This window comes from Homo sapiens, chromosome 19 (genome assembly GCF_000001405.40).
Source record: "Homo sapiens chromosome 19, GRCh38.p14 Primary Assembly".
In the NCBI taxonomy this organism is placed as follows: domain Eukaryota; kingdom Metazoa; phylum Chordata; class Mammalia; order Primates; family Hominidae; genus Homo; species Homo sapiens.
Genome location: NC_000019.10, coordinates 51,963,078 through 51,988,430, shown reverse-complemented (window position 1 = coordinate 51,988,430; position 25,353 = coordinate 51,963,078). Strand labels below are relative to the sequence as shown.

General features: G+C 42.2%; 1 protein-coding gene and 1 long non-coding RNA gene across 14 annotated transcripts in view, besides 2 other annotated features; one reads left to right on the top strand and one right to left on the bottom strand.

Annotated features, from left to right (window-relative positions):
- Window positions 1,251–2,126: an enhancer, noted in NCBI's record as "H3K27ac-H3K4me1 hESC enhancer chr19:52489558-52490433 (GRCh37/hg19 assembly coordinates)". NCBI's record gives its function as "activates a minimal SCP1, AML or CMV promoter by ChIP-STARR-seq in naive H9 embryonic stem cells {active_cell/tissue: H9 hESC(naive)}" and the evidence as "EXISTENCE:reporter gene assay evidence [ECO:0000049][PMID:30033119]".
- Window positions 1,425–1,664: an enhancer, noted in NCBI's record as "active region_15031". NCBI's record gives its function as "activates an Ori minimal core promoter by ATAC-STARR-seq in GM12878 lymphoblastoid cells {active_cell/tissue: GM12878}" and the evidence as "EXISTENCE:reporter gene assay evidence [ECO:0000049][PMID:35858748]".
- On the top strand, window positions 1,591–24,091 carry ZNF350 (zinc finger protein 350). 13 transcript variants are annotated; one of them, XM_047439183.1, is made up of 8 exons: window positions 1,591–1,661; window positions 3,683–3,725; window positions 13,506–13,753; window positions 13,900–14,085; window positions 19,300–19,426; window positions 19,758–19,853; window positions 21,031–21,156; window positions 22,217–24,091. In XM_047439183.1, the coding sequence occupies exons 4-8, from the start codon at window positions 14,071–14,073 to the stop codon at window positions 23,575–23,577; spliced, it is 1,725 nt and encodes a 574-aa protein (XP_047295139.1). In that variant the 5' UTR covers window positions 1,591–1,661; window positions 3,683–3,725; window positions 13,506–13,753; window positions 13,900–14,070; the 3' UTR covers window positions 23,578–24,091. The 13 variants fall into 13 exon arrangements, with proteins under 13 accessions (XP_047295139.1, XP_047295141.1, XP_047295140.1 ...); XM_047439185.1 differs by lacking the exon at window positions 21,031–21,156 and adding an exon at window positions 6,400–6,557; XM_047439184.1 differs by lacking the exon at window positions 21,031–21,156 and adding an exon at window positions 6,400–6,696.
- ZNF350-AS1 (ZNF350 antisense RNA 1) overlaps window positions 7,064–25,353 on the bottom strand; it is a 32,234-nt gene continuing 13,944 nt past the window's right edge. Inside the window, exons 2-3 of the long non-coding RNA NR_103847.1 lie at window positions 11,858–12,040; window positions 7,064–7,504 (exon numbers count right to left, since the gene is read on the bottom strand). This is a non-coding gene — a long non-coding RNA (ZNF350 antisense RNA 1). The remainder of the gene's footprint in view (window positions 7,505–11,857; window positions 12,041–25,353) is intronic.

Sequence of the window (25,353 nt, the reverse complement as noted above, 5' to 3'; positions counted from 1 at the left end):
GCCACCGCGTCCGGGTAATTTTTGTATTTTTAGTAGAGACTGGTTTCGCTTTGTTGGCCAGGCTGGTCTGGAACTCCTGACCTCAGATGATCCGCCTGCCTCGGCCTCCCAAAGTGCTGGGATTACAGGTGTGAGCCACCGTGCCCCACTTCACTTTCTTAAATGTTGTGTTTAGAAGCACAAACTTAAAAAAAAATCAAGTCCACTTTATTAATTTTATTTTGTTTTGTGGGTCATCCTTTACTCTCCTCTCAGAATTAACTCACGTCCATGAGGATTATCTCCCTTTTCCTTCTCTAAGTTTTATACTTTCTCTTAAACTTAGATCTATGATCTATTTTGAGTTAACTTTTGTGTATGGTTTGAGGGTCCTAACTCATTTTTCTGGATGTGGATATCCAATTATCCCAGTGCCGCTTGTTGAAAAGACTATTCTTATTGAATTGTCTTGGCACTTTTGTCAAAAACTCTTAACAATATTTTTATACTCTCAATTCTGGCTCTGCTCTTCCCATTGGCACCTTTACTAAAAGTGGCCTTTCTAGGAGGCCCAATTCCTTTAGTCTGTCGTGGCCAGGCTCACATCGTAATTCATTCTCAAAATCTCTTTTCTCTCCTCTCCTCTCCTCTTTTCTCTTCTTTTCTCCTCTTTTCTCTTCCTTCTCCTCCTCCTCTTCCTCCTTCTTCTTCTTCTTTTTTGTAAATAATAATCATTTTTTCGAGGCCAGGCGCGGTGGCTCACACCTGTAATCCCAGCACTTTGGGAGGCCGAGACAGGCAGATCACGAGGTCAGGAGGTCGAGATCATCTTGGCCAACATGGTGAAAGCCAGTCTCTACTAAAAATACAAAAATTAGCTGGGCGTGGTGGCGCGTGCCTGTAGTCCCAGCTACTTGGGAGGCTAAGGCAGGAGAATCGCTTGAACCAGGGAGGCAGAGGTTGCAGTGAGCCCAGATCTCGCCACTGCACTCCAGCCTGGCGACAGAGCAAGACTCCGTCTCAAAAAAAATTATAATTTTTTTCTTTCTTCACCACCCGCCCCCCCGAATACCTGCTATTTTTCTGTTCTTAAAAACCGCTTCCTGCAAGCTAATTTTCGCCAGACGCTTTCCCGTGGGTGTCTGCCTACCTGATGTGTTGCCTTTTCCCTTTCTACCTGATCTGTTACCTTTTCCATTTCCAATTCATTCTCTGGGATACCTACACCTGGCTGCACTGTTACTTGTCTTTTTCAAAACCTTTTTTTTTAAATTTAACAAAGTGGATGGAAAAGCGCTAAAGGCAATTTAGCTTGCCCCATATTTGCCTGATAAAGCCTGAGTCTCTGAAAATCTGCCCCCTTTCGCAAGACTTTAAGTGCCAGGAAACGAGGCGATTTCAGTGACTTCTCTTCTTCCCTGGCTCCTGGCTCAAAAACCTGCCACTGCCTTCTGTGCGTCCAATTTTCAAACATGGCTGCCGTCAGGAGCCACGGCTATGGGCGCGGCCATTTTACAGAGTAGGAAATGCCGTAAATGCGCTTGTCCTTGCTCTTTTAAACATTTTAGGTTCTCCTCGGCCGCCGTAGGTGGACCATAAACCCGTGCGAGGACTCCAGAAGTAGGAGCAGTTTACGGAAGTGTAACGTTGAGGCCCTTCTTGTGTATCTGGAGAAAATAGAGGTCAGTGTGTGGTTTTGTCCCTGAAAGTTTTTTGTCCTAGTTCAGGTTTTGTCTCAGTGGAAGGTTTGGGAGATCTGAGGACGTGGTGTACCCTGGACCACATAGTTTTTGGCAGGAAGACTGGGGAGCGCCGGGGTATAGGCATTTGGGAGGTACCTGGTGGGAGTCTGTGATCCCCCTGTCTGTGGTCCGCGTGCCTTTGGTGTGAGTACAGTGACTAAGGGTCTGTAGTGATCAACGGCCGTGTCCTAACTGTCAAGGTATGGATCACTCTGCTTGTAAAGGATGGAGGTGGCGATTAGGATCGATGCGGCGTCTGCTTCGGGTTCAGGATTTAATTTGGAACTCAGTGATGTTGGAGTCTGGGAGGATGTCCATCGCTGTAGAGTGTCTGGTCCGTGGTTCGGATGAGTAAGAGGCATGGGGCCAGTGTCTGTGGTACAAAGGCTTGTGAGGGCTGAAGCTTTCGAGACTTTGGAGCCCTGGGTCCTGGGTTGAGGTTCGAACCTCGGTTACTGGGGCAAAAGGCGACACAGCCCCCAGCATTAGTTCGAAACCATATATCTACTCTTCTGATCCTTGGGGTGGCTATTTACAGATCGGGGGGTCAAGTTCAGTCATACCCTCCGATTATATATTGTCTATGGCTGCAAAGGCAGCGGTTGAGTTGTTGTGACAGAGACCTCGTGGCCGGCAAAATCGAAAATGTTGCCAACCTCTGCATTCACTTCTTTTATTTTTTATTTATTTTTTTTATTTTTTGAGACGGAGTTTCACTTTTGTCTCCCAGACTGGAGTGCAATGGCGCGATCTCGGCTCACTGCAATCTCCGCCTCCCGGGTTCAAGCGATTCTCCTGCCTCAGCCTCCTGAGTAGCTGGGACTACAGGCCCACGCCACCACGCCCGGCTAGTTTTTGTATTTTTAGTAGAGACAGGGTTTTACCACGTTGGGCAGGTTGGTCTCGAACTCCTGACCTCAGGTGATCCGCCCACCTTGGCTTTCCAAAGTGCTGGGATTACAGGCGTGAGCCACCGCGCCCGGCCTTCACTTCTTAATATATAGTGAGTGTTGCTTGCCCGCCTTATATTCACACTTTCTTAACAGAATCTCCATTTCGTGAAGTATTCATCCCTGTGGCAAGGCGACCCAAATCCCAGTTTCTTAGTAAGGCCTTGTTGGTCTTAGCCAATCTTGCTGGTTCCAATTGCCATTGCTAGTGATAGGTTTGACATGGAAATGAGCTTAGGCGTATGGTGCAATTCTAGCCAACTATGTATGTGAAAATCTGCCTGGGAGTTTCTGAGGGAGCATTTTCTTTTTTAAATATGTAATTTCTTGAATCTCTTTTTCCATGTTCGTGATGATATCGCCTGAAAATAACATTAATTTTCTGTCTTACTTTGTAATGCTTATAATTCATTCTTATCTTAATGCATTGGCTCAACTTTCCAGTATAAAGTAGGAAAATAGGGTGTTAGTGGACGTTCTTGTTTTATTACCCACCTGTAAAATTCACCCGTTGTGTTGTCTGGAGTTAACACCTTTCCTGGAGGTAAACTGTTTGGTATGGTTGATCTCTTCCTTTACTTTGTTAATTTTTCTACATTTATATATTTTAAATGTACAATTTAATTATCATGGAGGCAATATATGTATAAGCAGTCATTGCCCAGGTCAAGAAATAGAATATGGTCAGCACACCAGTGGTGTTCTGTGAGTCTTTTTCCATTCTCACACCGAAAAGTATTTTAGGCTTTTCTTTATATAATTAATCATTATTTATCATTGTAGTTAATACAGTTTTGCCTATTTTAAACTCTGTATATCAGTGGAATTGTACATCACTCTTTTTTTGTGTCAGCCTTCTTTTGCTCATTATTGGTGAGGGTCTTTCCTGTTGCATCTGAGTATATTTTCTTTGCTCAATGACAAGGATCAGGCGAATTTACAGTAAATATTTTAGGGCTTGCAGGCTACATATGGTCTCTTGCATATGCTAATTTGCTTTTTGTTTTACAGTCTTTCAAAAATGTAAAAAGCATTCTTGCAGGCTGGACCAAAGGTATAATAGGTTTTCTATCACATTCCATTATGTAAAATATAGCAGTTTTTTCTATTATTAATTACATTTGTATTACCTAAAGCTTGTATTATTAAGAATAATGCATGTGTGAAAATTTGTGTAAATGTCTTTTGGTTCATATGTGCTCTCATATGGGGGAGGCAGAGATGTATATCTAGATGTGCACCTCGGAGGAAAATTGCTGCTTCATAGAGTGTGTATAAACTCCGTCTAAATAGATGTCAAACTGTTTTCTAAAGTGGTTGTACCACTTACAGTTCCCCTAGCAGGATATAGTTTGCTTTATAGGGTGCTTTATGTGGCCTCTTTAAAATATCTGGCCATACCCTAATAACATTGAGAGATTCTCCTATATTAATGTTCTTTAAAGCTTTATTGATATGTTTCTACCATTGAAATTGACAGTTGATTCTAAAATGGTTTTTGTGTATGTTGTGAGGGGGGTTTTAACTTTCTGTCCCCATCCCCAGTACCATTTATTGATTTTTTTTTTTTTTTTTAATTTTTTTAGATAGAGTCTTGCTCTCGTCGCCCAGGCTGGAGTGTAGTGGCGTGCTTGGCTCAACTGCAACCTCTGCCTTCTGGGCTCAAGTGATTCTTGTGCCACGGCCTCCCGAGTAGCTGGAATTACCAGCAGGTGCCACCTTGCCTGGCTAATTTTTGTATTTTTAGTAGAGATGGGGTTTCACCATGATGGCCAGGCTGGTCTCCAACTCTGGCTCAAGTGGTCCACCTGCCTGAAGGGGGCCTGCCCCTCCACACCTGTGGGTATTTTTTGCAAGGTGGAAATGAGAGACTGAGAAAAGAAATCAGACACAGAGAGAAAGTACAGAGGAAGAAAAGTGGGCCCAGGGGACTGGTGTTCAGCATATGGGGGACCCACACCGGCACTGGTCTCTGAGTTTTGTTAGTATTTATTGATTACTATTTTTACCATCTTGGTGAGGGGGGTGTGGCAGGACTATAGGGTAATGGTGGGGAGAGGGTCAGTAGGAAAACATGTGAGTAAAGGACTCTGTGTTATAAATAAGTTTAAGGAAAGGTCCTGTGCCTTGATGTGTACGTAGGCCAGATTTATGTTTGACTTTACACAGACATCTTAGTGTAGTAAAGAGTAGTATTGCCGCCAGTATGTCTCACCTTTAGTTATAAGGTGGTTTTCTCCTATCTTAGTAAATAGAATGTATGATTGGGTTTTATACCGGGACATTCCATTCCCAGGGAGGAGCAGGAGACAGATGGCTTTCTCTTATTTTAACTGTAAAGAGGTCTTCCTCTTTCACTAATCCTCCTCAGCACAGACCCTTTACGAGTGTTGGGCTGGGAGATGGTCAGGTTTTTCCCTTCCCACGAGACCATATCTCAGGCTGTATCAGTGGGAGGAAACCTTGGACAATACCCAGGCTTTCTTGGGCAGAGGTCCCTGCGGCCTTCCGCAGTGCATTGTGTCCCTGGGTACTTGAGACTGGAGAATGGTGATGACTTTTACCAAGCATACTGCCTGCAAACACATTTTAACAAAGCACGTCCTGCACAGCCCTAAATCCATTAAACCTTGAGCCAACACAGCACACGTTTCTGAGCACAGGGTTGGGGCTAGGGTTACAGATTAACAGTATCTCAAGACAGAGGAACTTTTCTTTGTACAGATTAAAATGGAGTTTCTTATGTCTTCCTCTTTCTATATAGACACAGTAACAGTCTGATCTCTCTTTCCCCCACACCTTCCTCAGCTTCCCAAAGTGCTAGGATTACAGGCGTGAGCCACGGCGCCCTTAGTTCCATTTATTGAAAAGACAGCTTTTATCTACTTCCCTGTAGTGCTATCATTGCCATTGAGTCTCTATATGTGCTTAATTCTGCTTATAAGGATTTTATTCTGTTCCTTTGTCCTATTTGCCTGTTATTGTACTAATATTGTGCTGTCCTAATTAAAGTAGCTTTATAAGTCCTCATAACTGATATGGCAAGTCTTCTAACTTTTTTTTCAAACTTTAAAAAAAAGTTTATAGCTATTTAAACTTTTCAGTATCAGTTTGGGATTGTGACTGTGATTTCATTGAATCTGTAGATTTGGGAGACTTGACATTTTTAAAATGCTTTGTTTTCCAGCCCATCTTTATAGTACATCTTTGCATTTATTTAAAACTGTTAAAATTTATCTCAGTAAATCTAATTTTAAAAATATATTCGAGTTCTTCTAAATGATATCGTTTATGTCAGCCTAAAAGAGGAAACTGCACAAAATACAATTTTAAAGAGTTTACTTGAGCCAAAATGAGGACAGCTGCCTGGGAAAATACTTTCAGGTTGCCTTGGTTAAGTGCTCTGTTAGGATTTTGTTAGAAACAGGTTTTAAAGTCAAAAGGGAACAAACCGTGAGCTGACATAAAGTTGTTTGGCAAGAATTCTCATTGGTTTACAGAAATAATATCAATTAACAATTGGCTGTACATTGTTAACTATGGGGTTTTATGAGTTAGGATGTCCAGTGAATGGCATTTTATGGCTACTCAGTGTGAGTTAGTCTAGAGCCTACATAGCAAGTGGCTTTAAGAGATAATTATTTAGCTTGAGGGGGAAATGAGATGTGACTATTGTCACATTAAATTTTTTTTTTAGTTTTTAATTTTTTCTTTTTTCTTTTTTTCAGGGGAACCCCTATCAGAAAGACTGCTGTCACATTTTAATGCCTCTCTAGACCTGATAATTTAAAGGGAGTCACATTCCTCAGATAAAAGATTCATTTCTTTCTCATTTATAAATTTTATTTTGTTTGTTGATGGTCTGTTCTGTCAGTTACTAGGAAAGGTCTGTTAAAGTCTTTAGTCTGAATTTTCTATTTCTTGTTTTTGGTTCTATTTTTTGCTGTATACATTTCAAGACTGTTGTTAGGGGTATACATATGGTGTATTTCTATGAATGAAGAGCCAAATTTCACCTCTTTTCAGTGAGCATTGTTTCTCTTTCTCTCTGTTAATTCTTTAGGATTTCTGGTCAGTTTTGTCTGAGATATAGTTATAACAGATTATCTTTGGTTACTCTCTCTGTGGCATATTGTCTCCAACCTTTTATTCTCAAGCTTCCCATATCATTTTGGTTCAGACATATCAACTATAATAACCGCATGTGGGGAGGCTGAGGCGGGTGTGTGATGAGATCCGGAGTTGAAGGCCAGCCTGACCAAGATGCTGAAATCCGATCTCTACTAAAAATACAAAAATCAGCCAGGCGCGGTGGCGGGCCGTAACCCACATGGACCCATGGGACTGCACAAATGGGGGTGAACGTGGGAATAAAGACAGGAGACAAAAGAGTATATTTGGGAGAAGGGGTCAGGGAGCACCTTACCTCTAGTGGACAAGGGCCCTGAGCTTTACACAGCCCTCCGTATTTATTAGGCAAAAGAGATAGGAGGGTGGGGGGGTGGAAGAAGGGGTCGGCTGCTCAGTTCAGAGTAGGCTTGCAAGACTGCATTCTCTAGATGTCGCAGTAGATAACCTCGGTGCCAGGGAGTGATTGCCTCCAGCAAACCTTATGTTGGCAGGAGCAGTCCTGAGTTTGCTCACATCCTGTATTCATGATAAACAGTTTGCTGTTTGATCATATAGCCTCCAGCAGAATGCTGAGTTGGTCACGTCCCACAGGCCTTTGGCTCCCTGCATATCCCCCTTTCTGTTTATGTATTAATTGAAAGAATGTAAGGCTGGGCTGGGAGGCTCTCATTCTCCAATTGGTGGTCCATCCGATTTTACAGACTATAAACCGAAGACAGAGACAAAACAACATTATTCCAAGAACTACATATAAGATGTTAATGTGGTGCCTTAGATAGGTCCAAGGGTTGAGGCTCTCCAGGCCTTCCTGGAATTCGGTCCAGTCTTCTAAAGAAGGCTGAAATTCTTGAGTTTGCCTATTTAAATCAATAATTTTGTTTTGTAATTCACCAATATCAAAGGTGATGTTGGATGTGAAAGCTCCTTGCAAATGGGCTTTCACAAGGTCCCACGGATACTCACTTTGGTTATATTCTGAGTTAGTTACGCAAATATGAATGTGATTAAAATGATGACGCAATTGCTGCTGCAACTGCAAGCTTTGTACCTGTTCTCCTAACCACAGAACCATGGATTTCAACATTGCCACTTCAGTTTGTAACTCAGTGTTAATTTTATTCTGAAGTAGCCTCGCTTGGTCAGCTGTGCGTGTCCAGTTCTCCACCTACTGAGATGTTTGAATAGAATTATGCAGAGTTACAGAAGATATCACAACAGAAGTTATTAGTTTGACCAAGGAAACAATAGCAAAAATTATGCCTAAGGCTCTATGGACACAGTGAGTAAGCTGAGTTAGAAGAAGTGTTACAAAAATGCAAAGCAGGTGTGGCAGCCCAAGGCTCAGACAGATTAACAAGAATCCATAGCCCAGGGATGCAACCCAACATTATCAAAGTAGAGATATTATGTGTTCGTAATGTGCTATGATTAATGCAGTGTGATATAACTGGCAAGATTTACAGGTCAATTGGGTATTGTTTACCTGAAGCTGGTTCTTCTTAGCTGCCAAAAAGGCATAAGGATTAAAAACACAAACTGTAAACTGAGTGGTGATATTCTTTACAAATGCAACATTAAGACTGTGTTGCTTACTATTGCTATTATTAGACAGTGTTCCAATCCAGATGTTGCCATTCATAAATGGGAGTGCTGCCTTCCATATAGTTTCTTGAATTGGTCCTTTCCTCCCCAGATAATGCAACTGAGGAAGAGGTGGGCTAAAGCCTGCTCCATGCCAAGCAATCTGAGCAGCAGACTGGGATTGGATTCTGCTGTTGTATAAAGAAGAAGCATTAAAAGCTTGCCGCCAATGCCAGTGAAGTTTGTGCCATGATTTCTGACTTTCACCTTTTCCATCTAATTGACCTTTAGGTTCCCAATCCACAGTGTCTTCAGTTGACATATATTGTTTACTAGCCAGTGGATCAAGACACTGGGTCCACAGAGTGGGGTAGGAACTATTGAATGGAATCCATTCTGTATAATCAGCACAATTAGGGTGACTGGACTGGGAATGATTGGTTAGCACACCAGTTACATTAATAGAACCAAGACCTAATAAGTACATAATTTTTCCATAGTGACTCAACCATGTTTGAGCTTGAATTGCAAGACAGCTATGGCTGAGCGACGTCTTTGTGGTGATAAACAAAGGGAGTCCTTCCAGTGGAGTGGTATAATTAATGACATTGTTCTGAGAGTCTAACTTTTCTATGTCACGGGGAGTTAGGGGTCCTGGAGCCCACTCTCCCTGATCGTGATAAATCTCAGGAGGAGTGAGCTCCAAAGTATAGGCCATACTGCTGGGGGATTGGGAACATATGCCCAATATGTTTTTGCCTGTGCACAGGGAAAACGTAGTGCACAGGACATTATGGCTAACATGGCCAAGAGCATGGAATCAGGGGTTTTGCCTGTCCCTGACACTCCAGTAGTTTCTCAGCTTCCTGTGTGGTTTTCTTGAGTTGTCCCCAGGTTATGGGGGTTGATGTCATCATGACTCTGGTTGGCCTTCTCTCCATCTTTGCACTCAGGCTCAGCTGACTCATAGCTCGTACAGGAGGGACTGGGCCCATGGTTGGCCACCCTGGGTTCCTCCAGTCTCCCATTCCATGGTCGCATGCACCTTGAGGGCACCCACATGGCTTGTCCCATCTCCTGTAAACACACAAGCATACCCTCTTCCCCAGGTCAGTAAATCTACCGGGCCTTTCCATTGTTGTCCTTCTGGGGATTTCCATAACACTTTCAGATAAACTTTGCTTTTTTCCTCTAACACTTGCCAATGTCTTTCTGCTGGAGTCTTACCATCCATACCGGGAGTCAGAAAATTTAAAGTAAATAAGGCTAAATGTAGTTTTGATTGAGGTGGTAGTTGGCCTCCTATACCCCCTTTTTGTTTTTTCAACATGCGTTGTAATGTTTGATGTGCCCATCCTATAGATATGACTGACACATCAGCTCCCATGTCCATAAGCCCATAAAATTTCTTTCCTTTAATGTGTACTACACAGGTAGGTCTATTAGAGGCTATGGGTTGGGAAAGATAGATTTCCCATGTAGTTGTGCTCCCAAACCCTTTATTTCCTCATTTCTCTTTTCATGGGGAAGGGTGTAATTCACAGGGAATAAGCAATAATTGAGCAATATATTCTCCCAGTTCAAAAACCCAAAGATTTTGTGACATTAAAACTACTTGAATTTCTCCTTCATAATCGGAGTCAGTCATTCCTAGGACTACAGTGATGCCTTGCAAGTTAAGGCAGCTTTTACCTAAAATTAGTCCTGTGTATCCTGTCGGTAAAGGTCCCCAAATACCCAAATAGGTTTGTCTCCCCTAACTAATGTGATTCTTTCTCTGGTGGGTAGATCTAATCCTGCACTTCCTGGTGTTCCTGGGTTGAGGGAATCAATGTGCCTCCAGGAACCCATCCCTGAAGTGGGGTTGTGGTCTGCATTGGGAATGCCCTCATTGTTTGAGGGGCCCGGGTGCAGGCCCCCATCTCATTTACCAATGGGGTGCCATTCTGATGAAATTTTGAGCAGCACTGGGTAGCCCAGTGATTTCCTTTGTTATGGCGAGTACAGAGTCCTGCTGTTTTTTCTGCTAGGGAGTGAACTGCATTGTAATATCCTTTCTGTCCTGAGATCTGGCGGCATTCCTTTTTTAGATGTCCAGTTTTTCCACAATTACAACATTTTCCCACTTTAGGGTTTGACCCTTGGCTCCTTTTAGATTTGTCAACTGCTAAATTAGCCATTGCTTATGCTAACTTTGCAGATCGATGAATCTCAGTTCCTACATCCTGACAAGCTCTGAGAAAATTTCCCAAGTTTTTTGTACACCTCACTGGTGCCAGTGCACGTTTACAGTACACGTTTGCATTCTCAAAAGCTAAAGTTAAGGTTAGCATTTCTGCAGCCACAGTATGAGGAATCTGACGCTTCAGTGCCTCATGTAATCTTGCAAGAAATTGTGCATAGGGTTCCTGCAACCCTTGCATGATATGTAAAAAGGATTGTACAGGGACTCCCTCTTCAGGATTGTGGCCCAGGCGCATTTAGCGGCCTGTGTACACTGCTGATAAGCAGCATCTGGGAGTGCCATTTGACGTTCTACATCTGAATAAGGGCCATGACCTAACAGCATATCCTCTGTAATGTCTCCGTGTCCAGCAGCATGGTTCTGTTTAGCCTGGTCTGCACACATTTCTTGCCAATTTAAATTCCATGTCAGATATGCACTAGCAGACAAGCAAGTTCGCGCCAAGTGTCTCACATCAAAGGGTAAAAAACGCATAGCACCAAACACAGATTCTAGCAATCCTAAGGTGAATGGGCTCTGTATGCCATCATTTACCACTCTTGCTTTTAATTCCTTCAACAACTTAAACTCTAGTGGGGTGTGTTCATGAATAACCTGCTGTGGATTTTTTGGATCAGGCCTGATGGAAATAGGAAAAGCACAATGTCCTAAGGGCTCTCCAGCTATGGCAGCAGAGCATTAAATTCTTTGTATTAGGGTTTCTATTTCTGCCACCGAAGGAGGCAGTACAGATGTTTCTGCAACTGAAGGAGGCAGTATAGGCCAATTTTTATCCTCCCTCTCCTGTTTTTTATTTTTAATTGGAGCTGTGGGTGGGTCAACAAATTCTTTCAGATTTTTAGATTCAGCTTGCTGTCCTGCAGAATAATAATGAGATAATGGCAGAAGTACAGTACGAACTAAACTCCAAGTGGAGAAAACAGAAGAATCGACTTTAAGACCTTTTTGATGAGCCTGTTTTAATCCTTCTCCTGCTGTATCCCAATTTTCCACATCAAGAGTGCCTGCCTGTGGAAACGATGGGTTATGTGTAATAACCTTTTGTGGCTTCTGCAGGAGGTTAGTGTCTGCGAATTAACCTGAGCTGCAGACTGTCTCAACAGAACTTTAAGCAACTGCACATAATGTTTTTCTTCAATAGACAAATTCTTTCCCTTGTTACCCTGAGTCAGAAAACTTCCCAGTACTTCTTTAAAGCACTGCTCCCAGTACCTCTTTAGGGCACTGACCTTATATCTGCTGCCGGCAGACTCTTCCCAGGGTCCCCTTTCGCCTTGTCAATTTCAGTTCCTCTGCTCCAGCAGACCTTCTTCATTCACGTCCTTGAAGTCCCATGTTTGGATGCTGCTAGTTGGGCGTGCTTGGAGTCCCTGTTCTGGTTGCCATTTGTAACCTGCACGGACCTAGGTGGACTAAACAAAGTGGGGTGAACACGGGAATAAAGATGAGACAAAAGAGTGTATTTGGAAGAAGGGATCGGGGGCGCTTTGCCTCTAGGGGACAAGGGCCCTGAGCTTTACACAGCCCTTCATATTTATTAGGCAAAAGAGACAGTGAGAAGGGGAGGTGGAAGAAGGGGTCAGCTGCTCGGTCCAGAGTAGTCTTGCAAGACTGCATTCTCTAGATGTCGCAGTAGATAACGGCGCCAGGGGTCCAGAGTAGTCTTGCAAGACTGCATTCTCTAGATGTCGCAGTAGATAACGGCGCCAGGGGTCCAGAGTAGTCTTGCAAGACTGCATTCTCTAGATGTCGCAGTAGATAACGGCGCCAGGGAGTGATTGCCTCCAGCAAACCTTCATCAGCCGGAGCAGTCATGAGTTTGCTGACATCCTGCATTCATGATAAACAGTTTGCTGTTTGATCTGTAGCCTCCAGTGGAATGCTGAGTTGGTCACGTCCCACGGGCCACGAGCCTTCGGCTCCCTGCAGCAGGTGCCTGTAAACTCAGCTACTCGGGAGGCTAAGGCAGAGAATTGCTTGAACCCGGGAGGCCGAGATCACACCATTGCACTCCAGCCTGGGCGACAGAGTGAGACTCCATCTCAAAAATTAAAATAAAATAAAATAAACCCCAGATGTTATTGGATTTTAATTTTTAATCCATTCTGACAGTTTTGAGGCATTTATATTTAATGTAATTAACTGGGATCCATGCTCTGTTTTTACTTAGCATAAAATACTTAATGTAATGTAATTTTCTTAGTACATTTTATTTTAAAACAGCTATCTAAATGCATTGTATTTGCTCTTTTTGCTCTGTTTTTGATTCTCTTCTTTTGGATGAATTTCTTGTTATTACATTTCCCCCTTTTGTTGGCATGGAACTTACGTACTTTAAAACAATTACTAGTTTTTTTTTTTTTTTTTTTTTTTAAGACGAGGTTTCGCTCTTTTTGACCAGACTGGAGTACAATGGCACAGGCTTGTCTCACTGCAACCTCCATCTCCCGGATTCAAGCAATTCTTCTGCCTCAGCTTCTGGAATAACTGTATTTTTATAGAGATGGGGTTTCACCATGTTGGCTAGGCCGGTCTCGGACTCCTGATGTCAGGTGATCCACCCGCCTCGGCATCCCAAAGTGCTGGGATTACAGGCGTGAGCCACTGTGCCTGGACTTACTAGTGTTAATTGTAACTAGAGATTACATGTAGTGTGCAACCTTTGTCATATTCTTCTGCTAATTGGCACTTTTCCATTCTACAGAAACCTTAGAGCACGTCAACTTTATTCACCACCTAATTATCCAGTAAATTATTGTGTATTTTAGCTTTTTATGTATTTAAAACCTCCTAAAATATTGTCAGTACTGTTTTTATGACAATGCTTATGATTTGCCCAGTACATTGGCTTTCAAACTGAAGTACATGTCTTCACAGGGTGTATGTACAAAGACTTTTGAAGAGGTGTGGGAGCACACATGATTTAAAGGAAAACAAAGACCAGGTCCTCTCCTTGCTGATTGTCTCTTTTCTAAAACTAATCTGCCTAAGAGTTCACCATCTCCTGAGGCTGGTGCTATGGTGGGTCTCATTTCCTACCTGCCTTCACAGTCCTTCCACGGAAACGTCACAGAGGAAAGGCATACCTCCACCACATTAAGAATCCTAGACATTATTGGCCACAGGTATAAAATCCGCTGGGGCTCCAAACAAAGGTATATAGTTAACTATATTGGGGGCATTGCTTTAAGATGAGTGCCTAGCAGCAGTGACAGTATCTGGGCCTGGAAAAAATGTACCACTTACATTGAATTTGCTCTTCAACCCACAGGTTCTGACTCCTCAGGAGCAAAAAACATAACCTGAAGAGGGAGGAAGTGGATTTGGGGTTCACCATTTCTTGGGGCACACTTGATTGAAAACTGAGACTTCTGAAGAGAAGGCCAGAAGATACAAAGACAGACCATCCCAGTTGAATGCTGTCTTCCAAGAACAGAAGAAAATGATCCAGGCCCAGGTAACTGACTTTTGGTTTGTTTTATTCTTTCCTTTGTTCCATAATAGATTTGTAGAAGCCTATAAACATCAATTTCACTAATATAAAAAGTATAAATTTCAAAAAGCAGGATCTGGAGAGAAGTAAGCTTAGTTTTTAAACTCAATATCATGCAAAATAGTAGGATAAGGAATATAATGTTCATAGCATTAACACTAAATTATGAATTTTGTGACACCATGCATGGCTGGAGGATCCTGTGGATTATATTAGCTGTCAGCTTGCATCTAATATCTCTGACAGCCAATGTCACAAGAAAATCATAATTTACATGGTATGTCCTGTTTTTGAAGATAAAACAGATTACTTCCTGGGGGTTGCCATTATTTCATGGCACTTTGGTCTCAGGAAATTTCTTCAGTGGTTCTTCCTAGAGTTGATGTGGTGGATGGTGTCCAGAATAGCAGCCTTCTCATAAATTCAGATGCAGGTTTCCTGTGGCTGTTTCTTGAAGGACTCCTTATATACTGTTACGGAATAGACTAAGCAAACAGTAAACACAGGGACCAACACAAGTTAATTTCAGCCTTGTGGCAGTCTGGATTTAACTTGGAATAAAACCTAGACATCCTGGGAATATGGCAGGATTCCAGGACTTTCAAATGGTTCTCAATGAACAGATAGCTGAACTGGTGTTTGAATATAGATTTGGAGACAGGGAGTTGAAAGTGATATTGTCTGAACAGGACTTGGATTGGAGTTTACAGATTTCCTTTAGACTTTCACCTTGTAGAAAATGCCAAGTCCTTATTGTATAGTAAATAATTGAACAAAGGGAGTTTTGGCCTTTGTGTTCAAGCTAATGGAGGGTGAGCTCTGGGCTTCTGGAATATCTTGCTAATGGTAGTGTCTTTGTTTGCTTGGGTCCTTTGGCCACTGGACAGCCTAAAAATACGAACTATGATAGATCTGTGATCTATGATAGGCCAGAAACTTCCAGAACTAGAGGCTAAAGTTAAAACCTGACTTCTGGGAGGGTGTGGACCTAAGATCAGCCACATAGGTCATCTGTGATTGTGTCCCAGTAAAGTAAGAAAGTACACATATCAAAAAATAAATTTCGGCTGGGCGCGGTGGCTCATGGCTGTAATCCAGCACTTTGGGAGACCGAGGTGGGTGGATCACGAGGTCTGGAGATCGAGACCATCCTGGCTCACACCGTGAAACCCTGTCTCTACTAAAAATACAAAAAATTGGTCGGGTGTGGTGGCAGGTGCCTGTAGTCCCAGCTACTCGGGAGGCTGAGGCAGGAGAATGGCGTGAACCCAGGAGACGGAAATTGCAGTGAGCCGAAATGGTGCCACTGCACTCCAGCCTGGGTGACAGAGAGACTCCATCTCAAAAAAAAAAAAAAAAAAAGTTTCTGGCTGAGTGCAGTGGCTTATGCCTACTTTGGGAGGCTTAGGCAGGAGGATTCCTTGAGCCCAGGAGTTTGAGACTAGCCTGGGCAATCTAGTGAGACCTTGTCTATATTTAGTAAAATTGAAGAAAAGAGAAAAAGTTTTCTTTTCACATATTTTCTTCCTAATCCACTTCTGTAAATGGTTGGTAATATTTACTTCCTGTCACTGTATCTGTTTGTGGATCTATGTCTATATATGTATTAATAAAAGTGTGAGTATATATGAATCTATCTGTAGATATATATATTCATTATGATATACACATATATATATTTTACATGATAGAATCATATTTCAAAGAACATAGCAGCCAACTTGAAGGGACTCTTCATTGGCCGAAGATGCTACACTTTGAACATCCAAAGACCAATGATTGCAAATGATTGAAGAACATTAATTATATAAAATTCCATCAGTTTATAGCTATACTTGAAAAAAATGCATTTGTCACCATTGGGGGTTAGGAGAGAATCAAGTATTTAATCTGAAAAATGATAAAAGATCATAAAGGTTTTGTGTGTGTGTGTGTGGCGGGGGTGGGTTGACTATGAGTTTATTTTTTACTTTTACTTTTCTGCTTTTTTTCTTTTTTCCTTTTTTTTTTTTTTTTAATTGAGATGGGGTCTTGTCATGTTGCCCAGGCTGCTCTTGAACTCCTGGGCTCAAGCAATCCTCCTGCCTCCCAAAGTGCTGGGATTACAGGCATAAGCCATTGTGCCTGGCCCTCTTGGTAATTTTGTATTACTGACCCATACTCTGCTCCTTGGCTATAAATTCCCACTTGCTTATGCTGATATTTGGAGTTAAGTCCATTCACCCTCTACCACTGCAAAATCCCATTACATTTGTCTATATACCTGTCATAATGGCCCTGAATAAAGTCTTCCTTACTGTGCTTTAACAATTCTCATTGAATAATTTTTTTAAACATGTATAGCTTAATTAAGGAGGTGAGATTCCAACGCCTTTGCCATATTCTGAATAGAGGTAAGTCACTAGGCCAGTCCCTGCTCAAGGAGAGGGTGTAGAGCACCCAATTCTGTCCCTGTTTGGGCGCCACTTGTAACCCGCACAGACCTAGGGGGACTGAACACAGTGGGGTGAACACAGGAATAAAAGACAAGAGACAAAAGTATATTCGGAGGAAGGGGTCAGGGGGTACCTTGCCTCTAGTGGACAAGGGCCCTGAGCTTTACACAGCCCTCTGCATTTATTAGGCAAAAGAGATAGTTGGGGGGGTGCAGTGGAAGTAGGGGTCAGCTGCTCAGTCCAGAGGAGGCTTGCAAGACTACATTCTCTAAATGTTGCAGTAGATAACCTCAGCACCAGGGAGTGATTGCCTCCAGAAAACCTTCTGTCGGCAGGAGCAATGGTGAGTTTGCTCACATCCTGCATTCATGATAAACAGTTTGCTGTTTGATCATATAGCCTCCAGTGGAATGCTGAGTTGGTCACGTCCCACGGACCTTTGGCTCCCTGTAAGTGGGAACTACATAAAGGTGTGAACACTGGGAGGGTGGAGTTCATTGAGCCATCAAATCTGCCTGCCATAGATCTGTCATATAGTAAACTATTTTTGAGTGTGGATTGAGGTAAGACTTTCACTTTACTTTTTTCCAAATAGATAGCTATCTCACATAAATAATTTAGAATGGGTAAACCAACCAGGATTAAGTACTTGTATCATCTACCAAGTGTGTTCACTGGCCTCTGTAATAAAATGAGTATAGAGTGTACCTTCTGCTGTTCCCTGGGTCTTCAATGACTCAATTTCCCACCAGCAGTATCCTTTAAAGCCATCCTGCATCCTGAGACAAGAGATTGACAATTCATTGATAAGTAGTCTTAATTGTCACTATTACAGGGCTGTAGGTCCTTTGCCAGCCATGCCTTTCAGTCCTAAATGGTCTTCAAGGTTGGGCTGTGTTGTCCAAGAGCTGAGGACCTTACATTTATTGTTCCAATATTTATTGGCTATAATGATTTCTGTGGAGCAGTCAGCTGTCAGAAAATTTTGTCTCCTTTGTAGGTAACCTGTCATTGGTCTTTGGATTTTTTTATAGTCTCCCTTTGTATCTGGTGTAATTTAGTTTCAATCTGTTGTGCCTACGTGTAGACTTCTTGCTTGAAAAGTTGTTGGATTTCTTGAGTTTGAATTTTGGAGTGTTTAATCAGTTCTGAAAAATTTTCAGTGTTAGATCTTTGGATATTGTTTCTCCATTACTTGATTTTCTCCTTCTTCTTGAGAAATTATCAAACTCAAGGAGGTCATAGGAACCCTCAGTTTATAATTAGTCCATCAGAAAAATAGGAGGCCTGGATTTGTGATATATGGTTGGCCCTCCATATCCATGGCTTCCACATCCATGGATTCAACCAACTGAGGATTGAAAATATATATTTTTTAAGCATCTGAACTGAGCACATACAGACTTTTTTATTGTCATGATTCCCTAAACAATATAGTATAACAACTGTTAACATACCATTTACATTGTATTAGATATTATAAGTAATCTAAAGATAATTTAAAGTATATGGGGCTGGGCACGGTGGCTCACTCCTGTAACTCCAGCACTTTGGGAGGCTGAGGTGGGTGGATCGTCTAAGGTCAGGAGTTTGAGAACAGCCTGGCCAACATAGTGAAACCCCATCTCTACTAAAAATACAAAAAATTAGCTGGTTGTGGTGGCGGGCACCTGTAATCCTAGCTACTCGGGAGGCTGAGGCAGGAGAATCGCTTGAACCTGGGAGGCGGAGGTTGCAGTGAGCCAAGATTGTACCATTGCACTCCAGCCTGGGAAAGAGGAGCAAAACTCCGTCTCAAAAAAAAAAAAAAAAAAATTAGCCAGGCGTAGTGTCACATGCCTGTAGTCCTAGCTACTTGGGAGGCTGGGGCAGAAGAATTGCCTGCTCCTGGGAGGCGGAGGTTGCAGTGAGCTGAGATTATGCCACTGCACCCCAGCCTGGGAAAGAGAGTGAGTCTCCATTTCAAAAAAACAGAAATGTATATGGGAGGATGTGCATGGGTTACATGCAAATCTGCAAGTACTATTCCATTTTATTTTATTTTATTAGAGACAGTCTTGCTCTGTTGCTTAGGCTGCAGTGCAGTAGCATGGTCATAACTCAGTGTAGTCTCTAACTCCTAGGCTCAAATGAGCCTCCTGCCTCAGCCTCCCAAGTAGCTGGGACCACAGGCACTCACCACTGTGCCTAGCTAATTTTTTAATTTTTTGTACAGATGGGGTCTCATGTTGCCCAGGCTGGTCTTGAACTCCTGGGCTCGAGTGACCCTCCTGCCTTGGCCTCCGAAAGTGCTGGGATTACAGGTGTGATCTACTGTGCCTGACCAATACTGTGCCATTTTATATCAGACACCTCAGTATCCTCAGGAGGTCCTGGAACCAATACCCTACAGATACTAAAGGATGGCTGTATATATGTCTTTCATTTGCATGTATCTAAAATAAATATATGTACATATATTCATATATATTTACATATATAAAATGTATAAATATATTGTTTTTAGGTTAGCAAGATTTAACTTCTACACTTTATAGAAACTTCCAATTGGGTGAATGGAGGATGACTGAATATACAGTTACAGAATATTATATTAGGACTTTACTTCTTCCACATTGTATTAAAAAAAAAACTATTTGGTATATGCACACAGCCTGTAGAGTGGAAATGAGCAGAAAAACTTTAGCATTTCTTCCACATCATCAAAAAGACATCACTTTATTAAACAGGACTGTTATTACAGGAATCCATAACACTGGAGGATGTGGCTGTGGACTTCACTTGGGAGGAGTGGCAACTCCTGGGCGCTGCTCAGAAGGACCTGTACCGGGATGTGATGTTGGAGAACTACAGCAACCTGGTGGCAGTGGGTGAGGACAGCTGCCCTGTGTCACTCAGAGGGTGCCTAGTCAGTGGCCTTCCTTTCTCAGATGCCTACCTCTTTGGAATGCCTGCAGTACTCTGAAGTGGTAGATTCTCAGATCCTTCTCTTGCTCCCACACAAGACGGTGTAATCTACCCTCTTGTAAGAGAAAAACCTTGATGTTACAGATATGAAACGAAACTTTCATAGTTTCAGATAAGAAACTAAATTTTGGGTATTTTAAGAAACTCAAGTTTCTTGAAATGTAACATTCTTCCTTCTTGACATTGCCAGCCCAATTTGATATGTCTAAGTCCTCTATCATTTTCCATGAACAGGGTATCAAGCCAGCAAACCGGATGCACTCTTCAAGTTGGAACAAGGAGAACAACTGTGGACAATTGAAGATGGAATCCACAGTGGAGCCTGTTCAGGTGAGAGAACCCACAAGACAGAAGGCTATGGAAGTCACATTCTAGACAGTCAGAGAAGGCAGCACAGCTGTGAAGGGGGTTTGAGGATATGTAAACAGTTCCTCTACTCATCTGTCTCCCAGTGTGAGACCAGTTTTTCTTTGTAGGAATTTAGAGTTAAAAAAAAACAAAACAAAACAAAAACTCTTTATCTCCTCAGAGATCTGATTATTTTATCTACATATTGTTTGTTTGCCTGCATAATTTTCTTCTTCCTCGGGTTTCAAGTATTTCCCTTCTTCATGTTGTTCCACCTCTCTTGTTACGAAATTCCACCTTCCAGGCCTCTTTCCAAAGAGGAAACTTTGAAGTCCTCACTGTTTTCGGACTCCCACCCCTTTGTGCCCCTTGGCTAATGCTGACCTCCCCTCCTAACACCTCCCCTGTGATGGATGTGGCTTCCTCAGGGTAAACTGGACTTTCGCTGTGCCTTGGCTTCCTTCGCTTCTCTTTTTCCTTATTCTTAGGTTCTCCAAAGGTCCCGTTCTCCATTTTCTCATCTGTGCCCTTCACTCTTCAAAATTGCCTTCATTCTAGTAAGTTTAAACTCCTTCCGCTCCCTGGAGGAGAGTCCCAAACTGACATCTCCCTGTTGTTATCTAACACAGATTTTAGTTCTGTGTAATTTACTTCATGGCAACTCTCCCCTGAGTTCCTAGTAACTGCAAGGAACTAGAATCATCTTTCCTCCAAGAAAACCATTAAGTTTGGATTTTCGTTTGTTCCTGTACATCCTGAATCTTGGCCATCTGGGTATTACCTGCCTGAAGAGCTCTCTTCTTTAAAGGTCTCTGCTAGTCATGATGCATCTCTAAGTAAAAAAGTCATTTTTTTAACATCCTACATTCTCAACTCCCGCCTACTTCCATTTGGTTCCTTTCTGTATTTAATAATTTGCTTTCGTTTTTTTCCCCATCGTATTCTGATGACACCAAGTCCCAGTAAACCATGTTACCTGTCAAATTTCTCATTTCAGTGATCTCTGTGATATAATACCATCTTGCTCACAAAGAGATTTCCATCCTCTTTCCTAAACCCTGCCTGGTGTGTTCCACACATATGATTACTTCCCTGACTCATTCCCTTAAAAATTATTCATTATTATTATTTATTTTTATTAATTTATTTTTTTTTTAAGACAGAGTCTTGCTCTGTGCCCAGGCTGGAGCGCAATGGTGTGAACTTGGCTCACCGCAACCTCCACCTCCTGGATTCAAGCGATTCTTGTGCCTATCCCCAACACCAGCACCATACCTGGCACACGGTGATCATTCAGTAAGAGTATGTGGAATGAATGAATCTGTTCTTTGGACGAAATGGGCCTCCAGCCTCTGGTCTGCTGGTCACAGTGAATTGCTTGTATTTTAAGGTCTGTTTTGCAAGGCACATTTAGAAAGCAGCCAAATCTGTCTTTATTATTAGTGATCTAACCTTGTTTTATGCTAACTGCTTTCACCTTTTAGTTTGTTTATACTATTACTTTTTGCCAATGTGCAAGGAACATTAAACATGGAGTTTTATTTACACTCAGGTCATAGGGTTATTACTAAGAGACACCTCACATCAAGGCATTAAAAAAAAGAATACTTTGGGGCCGGGTGCAGCGGCTCACACCTGTAATCCCAGAACTTTGGGAGACTGAAGCGGGCAGATCACCTGAGGTCGGGAGTTCGAGATCAGCCTGGCTAACATGGTGAAACGCCGTCTCTACTAAATATACAGAATTAGCTGGGTGCGGTGGTGCATGCCTGTAATCCCAGCTACTCGGGAGGCTGAGGCAGGAGAATCGCTTGAACTCAGGAGGTGGAGGTTGCAGTGAGCCGGGATCATGTCACTGCACTCCAGCCTGGGCTACAGAGTGAGACTCCGTCCCCAAAAAACAAAAAAAAAACAACAAAAAATACTTTGGCTGTGAGCCGGGATTGTACCACTGCACTCCAGCCTGGGCGACAGAGTGAGACTCCGTCTCCCAAAAACAAAACAAAACAAAAAATACTTTGGCTGAGCACAATGGCTCACCTGAGGTCAGGAGTTCGAGACCAGCCTGGCCAACATGGTGAGACCCCGTCTGTAGTAAAACTACAAAAATTAGCCGGGCATGGTAGCAGGCACCTGTAATCCCAGCAACTTGGGAGGCTGAGGCAGGAGAATCCCTTGAACCCGGGAAGCAGAGGTTGCAGTGAGCTGAGATCGCAGCATTGCACTCCAGCCTGGACAACGGAGTAAAACTCCATCTTAAAAAAAAAAACAAAAAAAACAAAAAAACCACAACAAACTTTTACCCCAAATCTAAATGATAGAAATCTTTGTTCTTTTCTTTCTAGACATATGGAAAGTTGATCATGTGCTGGAGCGCTTGCAGAGTGAAAGCCTGGTGAACAGAAGGAAACCATGTCATGAACATGATGCATTTGAAAATATTGTTCATTGCAGCAAAAGTCAGTTTCTGTTAGGGCAAAATCATGATATATTTGACTTACGTGGAAAAAGTTTGAAATCCAATTTAACTTTAGTTAACCAGAGCAAAGGCTATGAAATAAAGAACTCTGTTGAGTTTACTGGAAATGGGGACTCCTTTCTTCATGCTAACCATGAACGACTTCATACTGCAATTAAATTCCCTGCAAGTCAAAAACTCATCAGCACTAAGTCCCAATTCATCAGTCCCAAGCATCAGAAAACACGAAAATTAGAGAAGCATCATGTGTGCAGTGAATGTGGGAAAGCCTTCATCAAGAAGTCTTGGCTAACTGATCACCAGGTAATGCATACAGGAGAGAAACCCCACAGATGTAGTCTATGTGAGAAAGCCTTCTCCAGAAAGTTCATGCTTACTGAACATCAGCGAACTCATACAGGAGAAAAACCTTATGAATGCCCTGAATGTGGCAAAGCCTTTCTCAAGAAATCACGGCTCAACATACATCAGAAAACACATACCGGAGAGAAACCCTATATATGCAGTGAATGTGGAAAAGGCTTCATCCAGAAAGGAAATCTCATTGTACACCAGCGAATTCATACAGGTGAGAAACCTTATATATGCAATGAATGTGGAAAAGGCTTCATTCAGAAGACGTGTCTCATAGCACATCAGAGATTTCACACAGGAAAGACGCCCTTTGTGTGCAGTGAATGTGGAAAATCCTGTTCTCAGAAATCAGGTCTCATTAAACATCAAAGAATTCACACAGGAGAGAAACCCTTTGAATGTAGTGAATGTGGGAAAGCCTTTAGCACAAAGCAAAAGCTCATTGTCCATCAAAGGACTCATACAGGAGAGAGACCCTATGGCTGTAACGAGTGTGGGAAAGCGTTTGCGTATATGTCGTGTCTGGTTAAGCATAAGAGAATACACACAAGGGAGAAACAAGAGGCAGCCAAGGTGGAAAATCCTCCTGCAGAGAGGCACAGCTCATTACACACCAGTGATGTCATGCAGGAGAAAAACTCTGCTAACGGGGCGACTACACAAGTGCCTTCTGTGGCCCCTCAGACATCATTAAACATCAGCGGCCTCCTCGCAAACAGGAACGTAGTCCTTGTGGGACAGCCAGTGGTCAGATGTGCAGCCTCAGGAGATAACAGAGGATTTGCACAGGACAGAAACCTTGTGAATGCAGTGAATGTGGTTGTGCCTTCCGTGATCAATTATGTCTTATTTTATGTTACAGAAAACCCATAGGAAGAAAACTCAGATCTATGTGGAAAAGGGTTGAGCAAAAATTTGTAGTTCATTATGTGGCCGAAAAGCATACACTGAGAGAACATGTATAAGGCTGAGATAGCCTGATAAACTCATCCTATTAAAATGTATGCTGTGATACACAGGCAAATTTGATGTTAACCTAAGCACATACACAGCAATTGCTCGACTGTGTCAATTAAATGAGTAAAGGAAGCCCAAGTACTTTTAAGTGGAGGAAATGAAGTACTGTGAATTTTTAAAACAGATGAGATAATTGGTGTCGGGAGTGTTGCAGTGACTGAAAAGCTTCATAAGGGGCAGTTGGTGGGAAAGGGCTAATACTGTAATGGTGGAATGTGGGACACATATGTGTCAATTCAGTTTCCTTAGACCAGTGCCAGTGTGGAGGATTAATTGAAAACCAGGACCATAAACTTTCAGAACTTTGTATTATGCAGAGGGATCTGTGAAACTAGTCAATTTGTTTCATTAAACAAATATTTTAAAATTATTTCCTTTGTACCTTGTCCTGTTCCAGGAGCTGAGGTCAAAGAAGAAAAAGTTTGTGGTCTCCTGGAGAGTTTGTGGGGTTAATTTTAAGTGGTATCATTACACTCAGGCAATCTAGTCAGGCGGTGCAAATATCTACATTAGGTGAAATGGACATGGAGTAACTGTGTCCAGGGGACGCGATAATTTATTGTTCAAGGAGTAGCAGAAGGACTGCTGTTAATGGTACTTAAGCACCTTAGTACAAAAAGGAGGGCTTTTTGTTTGTTTGTTTTTGCCCGTGTCTTATCTCTCCAAGAGATTACAAATTCCCTGCTAAGTTTTGTAGCTACTTAAATTTTAGAATTAAAGAAACTGAACACAAAATTTAAAAATTCAGTTCCCTCACTGCTCAAGAGCTGTATATGTGAGTAGAGGCTACTAAACTGGACAGCAGAGTGAACAGAACTTTCAGACAATGAGGACTCTTTGTCATTATTTCCAACATCCCAGAAAGTTATGCTGGAGAGGCTGCTTTGCATGATCTAATATTTCCCAACACATAGAAAAACAAAAACTAATTATGTATTGATTTGGAGAGAGAATGATTTGGAAAGAGAAGCGTATTTTGTCATTGAAGGGAATGACAGTTGTAAAGAATAGAATTGTCACTCACAACTTTTGTGTGATTAGAAAGACTTAGCCAAATATAAAAGGGGCAGAGCAGAAAAGGAAAAGGACTCTTAGAATAAGTAGAACACAAAGGAGGAGGAAAATCTTAGTCTCTGAGAATGGATGAGACTGTAACAGATGGGAGGAGGTGGGTTTCTTTTGGGACGTCTTAGAGATGACGCTTTTATTTGTCCATAAGACCTATCACCCGCTAGGGTTACCATTTCAGAGATCCCAGCTTCTCTGTGACCTGCTGAACTGAGATGTGATTTTTCTTTTCTTTTTTTTTTTTTTGAGACATGATTTATCTTCATCATTCTCACTTTTCTGGGAGTAGGTCTCTTGGCCTTCTTTATCTGGTTTTTTAACCTTCATCCCATATGGATACACTGTCCAAGTTACAGTAAGTGCTGCTCATAGGAAAATAAATGGAAATTTGCCTTGTGGCTAGGTCAGAATTCAACAGAAATCCTGGGTTACTAGGTAACCTTTTTTTTGAGATGGAGCCTTGCTCTGTCGCCCAGGATGGAATGCAGTGGCACGAACTCAGCTCACTGCAAACTTTGCCTCCCGGGATCAAGCGATTCTCCTGCCTTAGCCTCCCGAGTAGCT

Bases quoted from the DNA above. Each gene is read 5' to 3' on its own strand.
- ZNF350 (XM_017027094.2), top strand. The intron at 19,427-19,757 runs GTGAGGACAGCT...TTCCATGAACAG, and splicing joins CAGCAACCTGGTGGCAGTGG to GGTATCAAGCCAGCAAACCG. The intron at 21,157-22,216 runs GTGATCATTCAG...TTTTCTTTCTAG, and splicing joins AGCACCATACCTGGCACACG to ACATATGGAAAGTTGATCAT.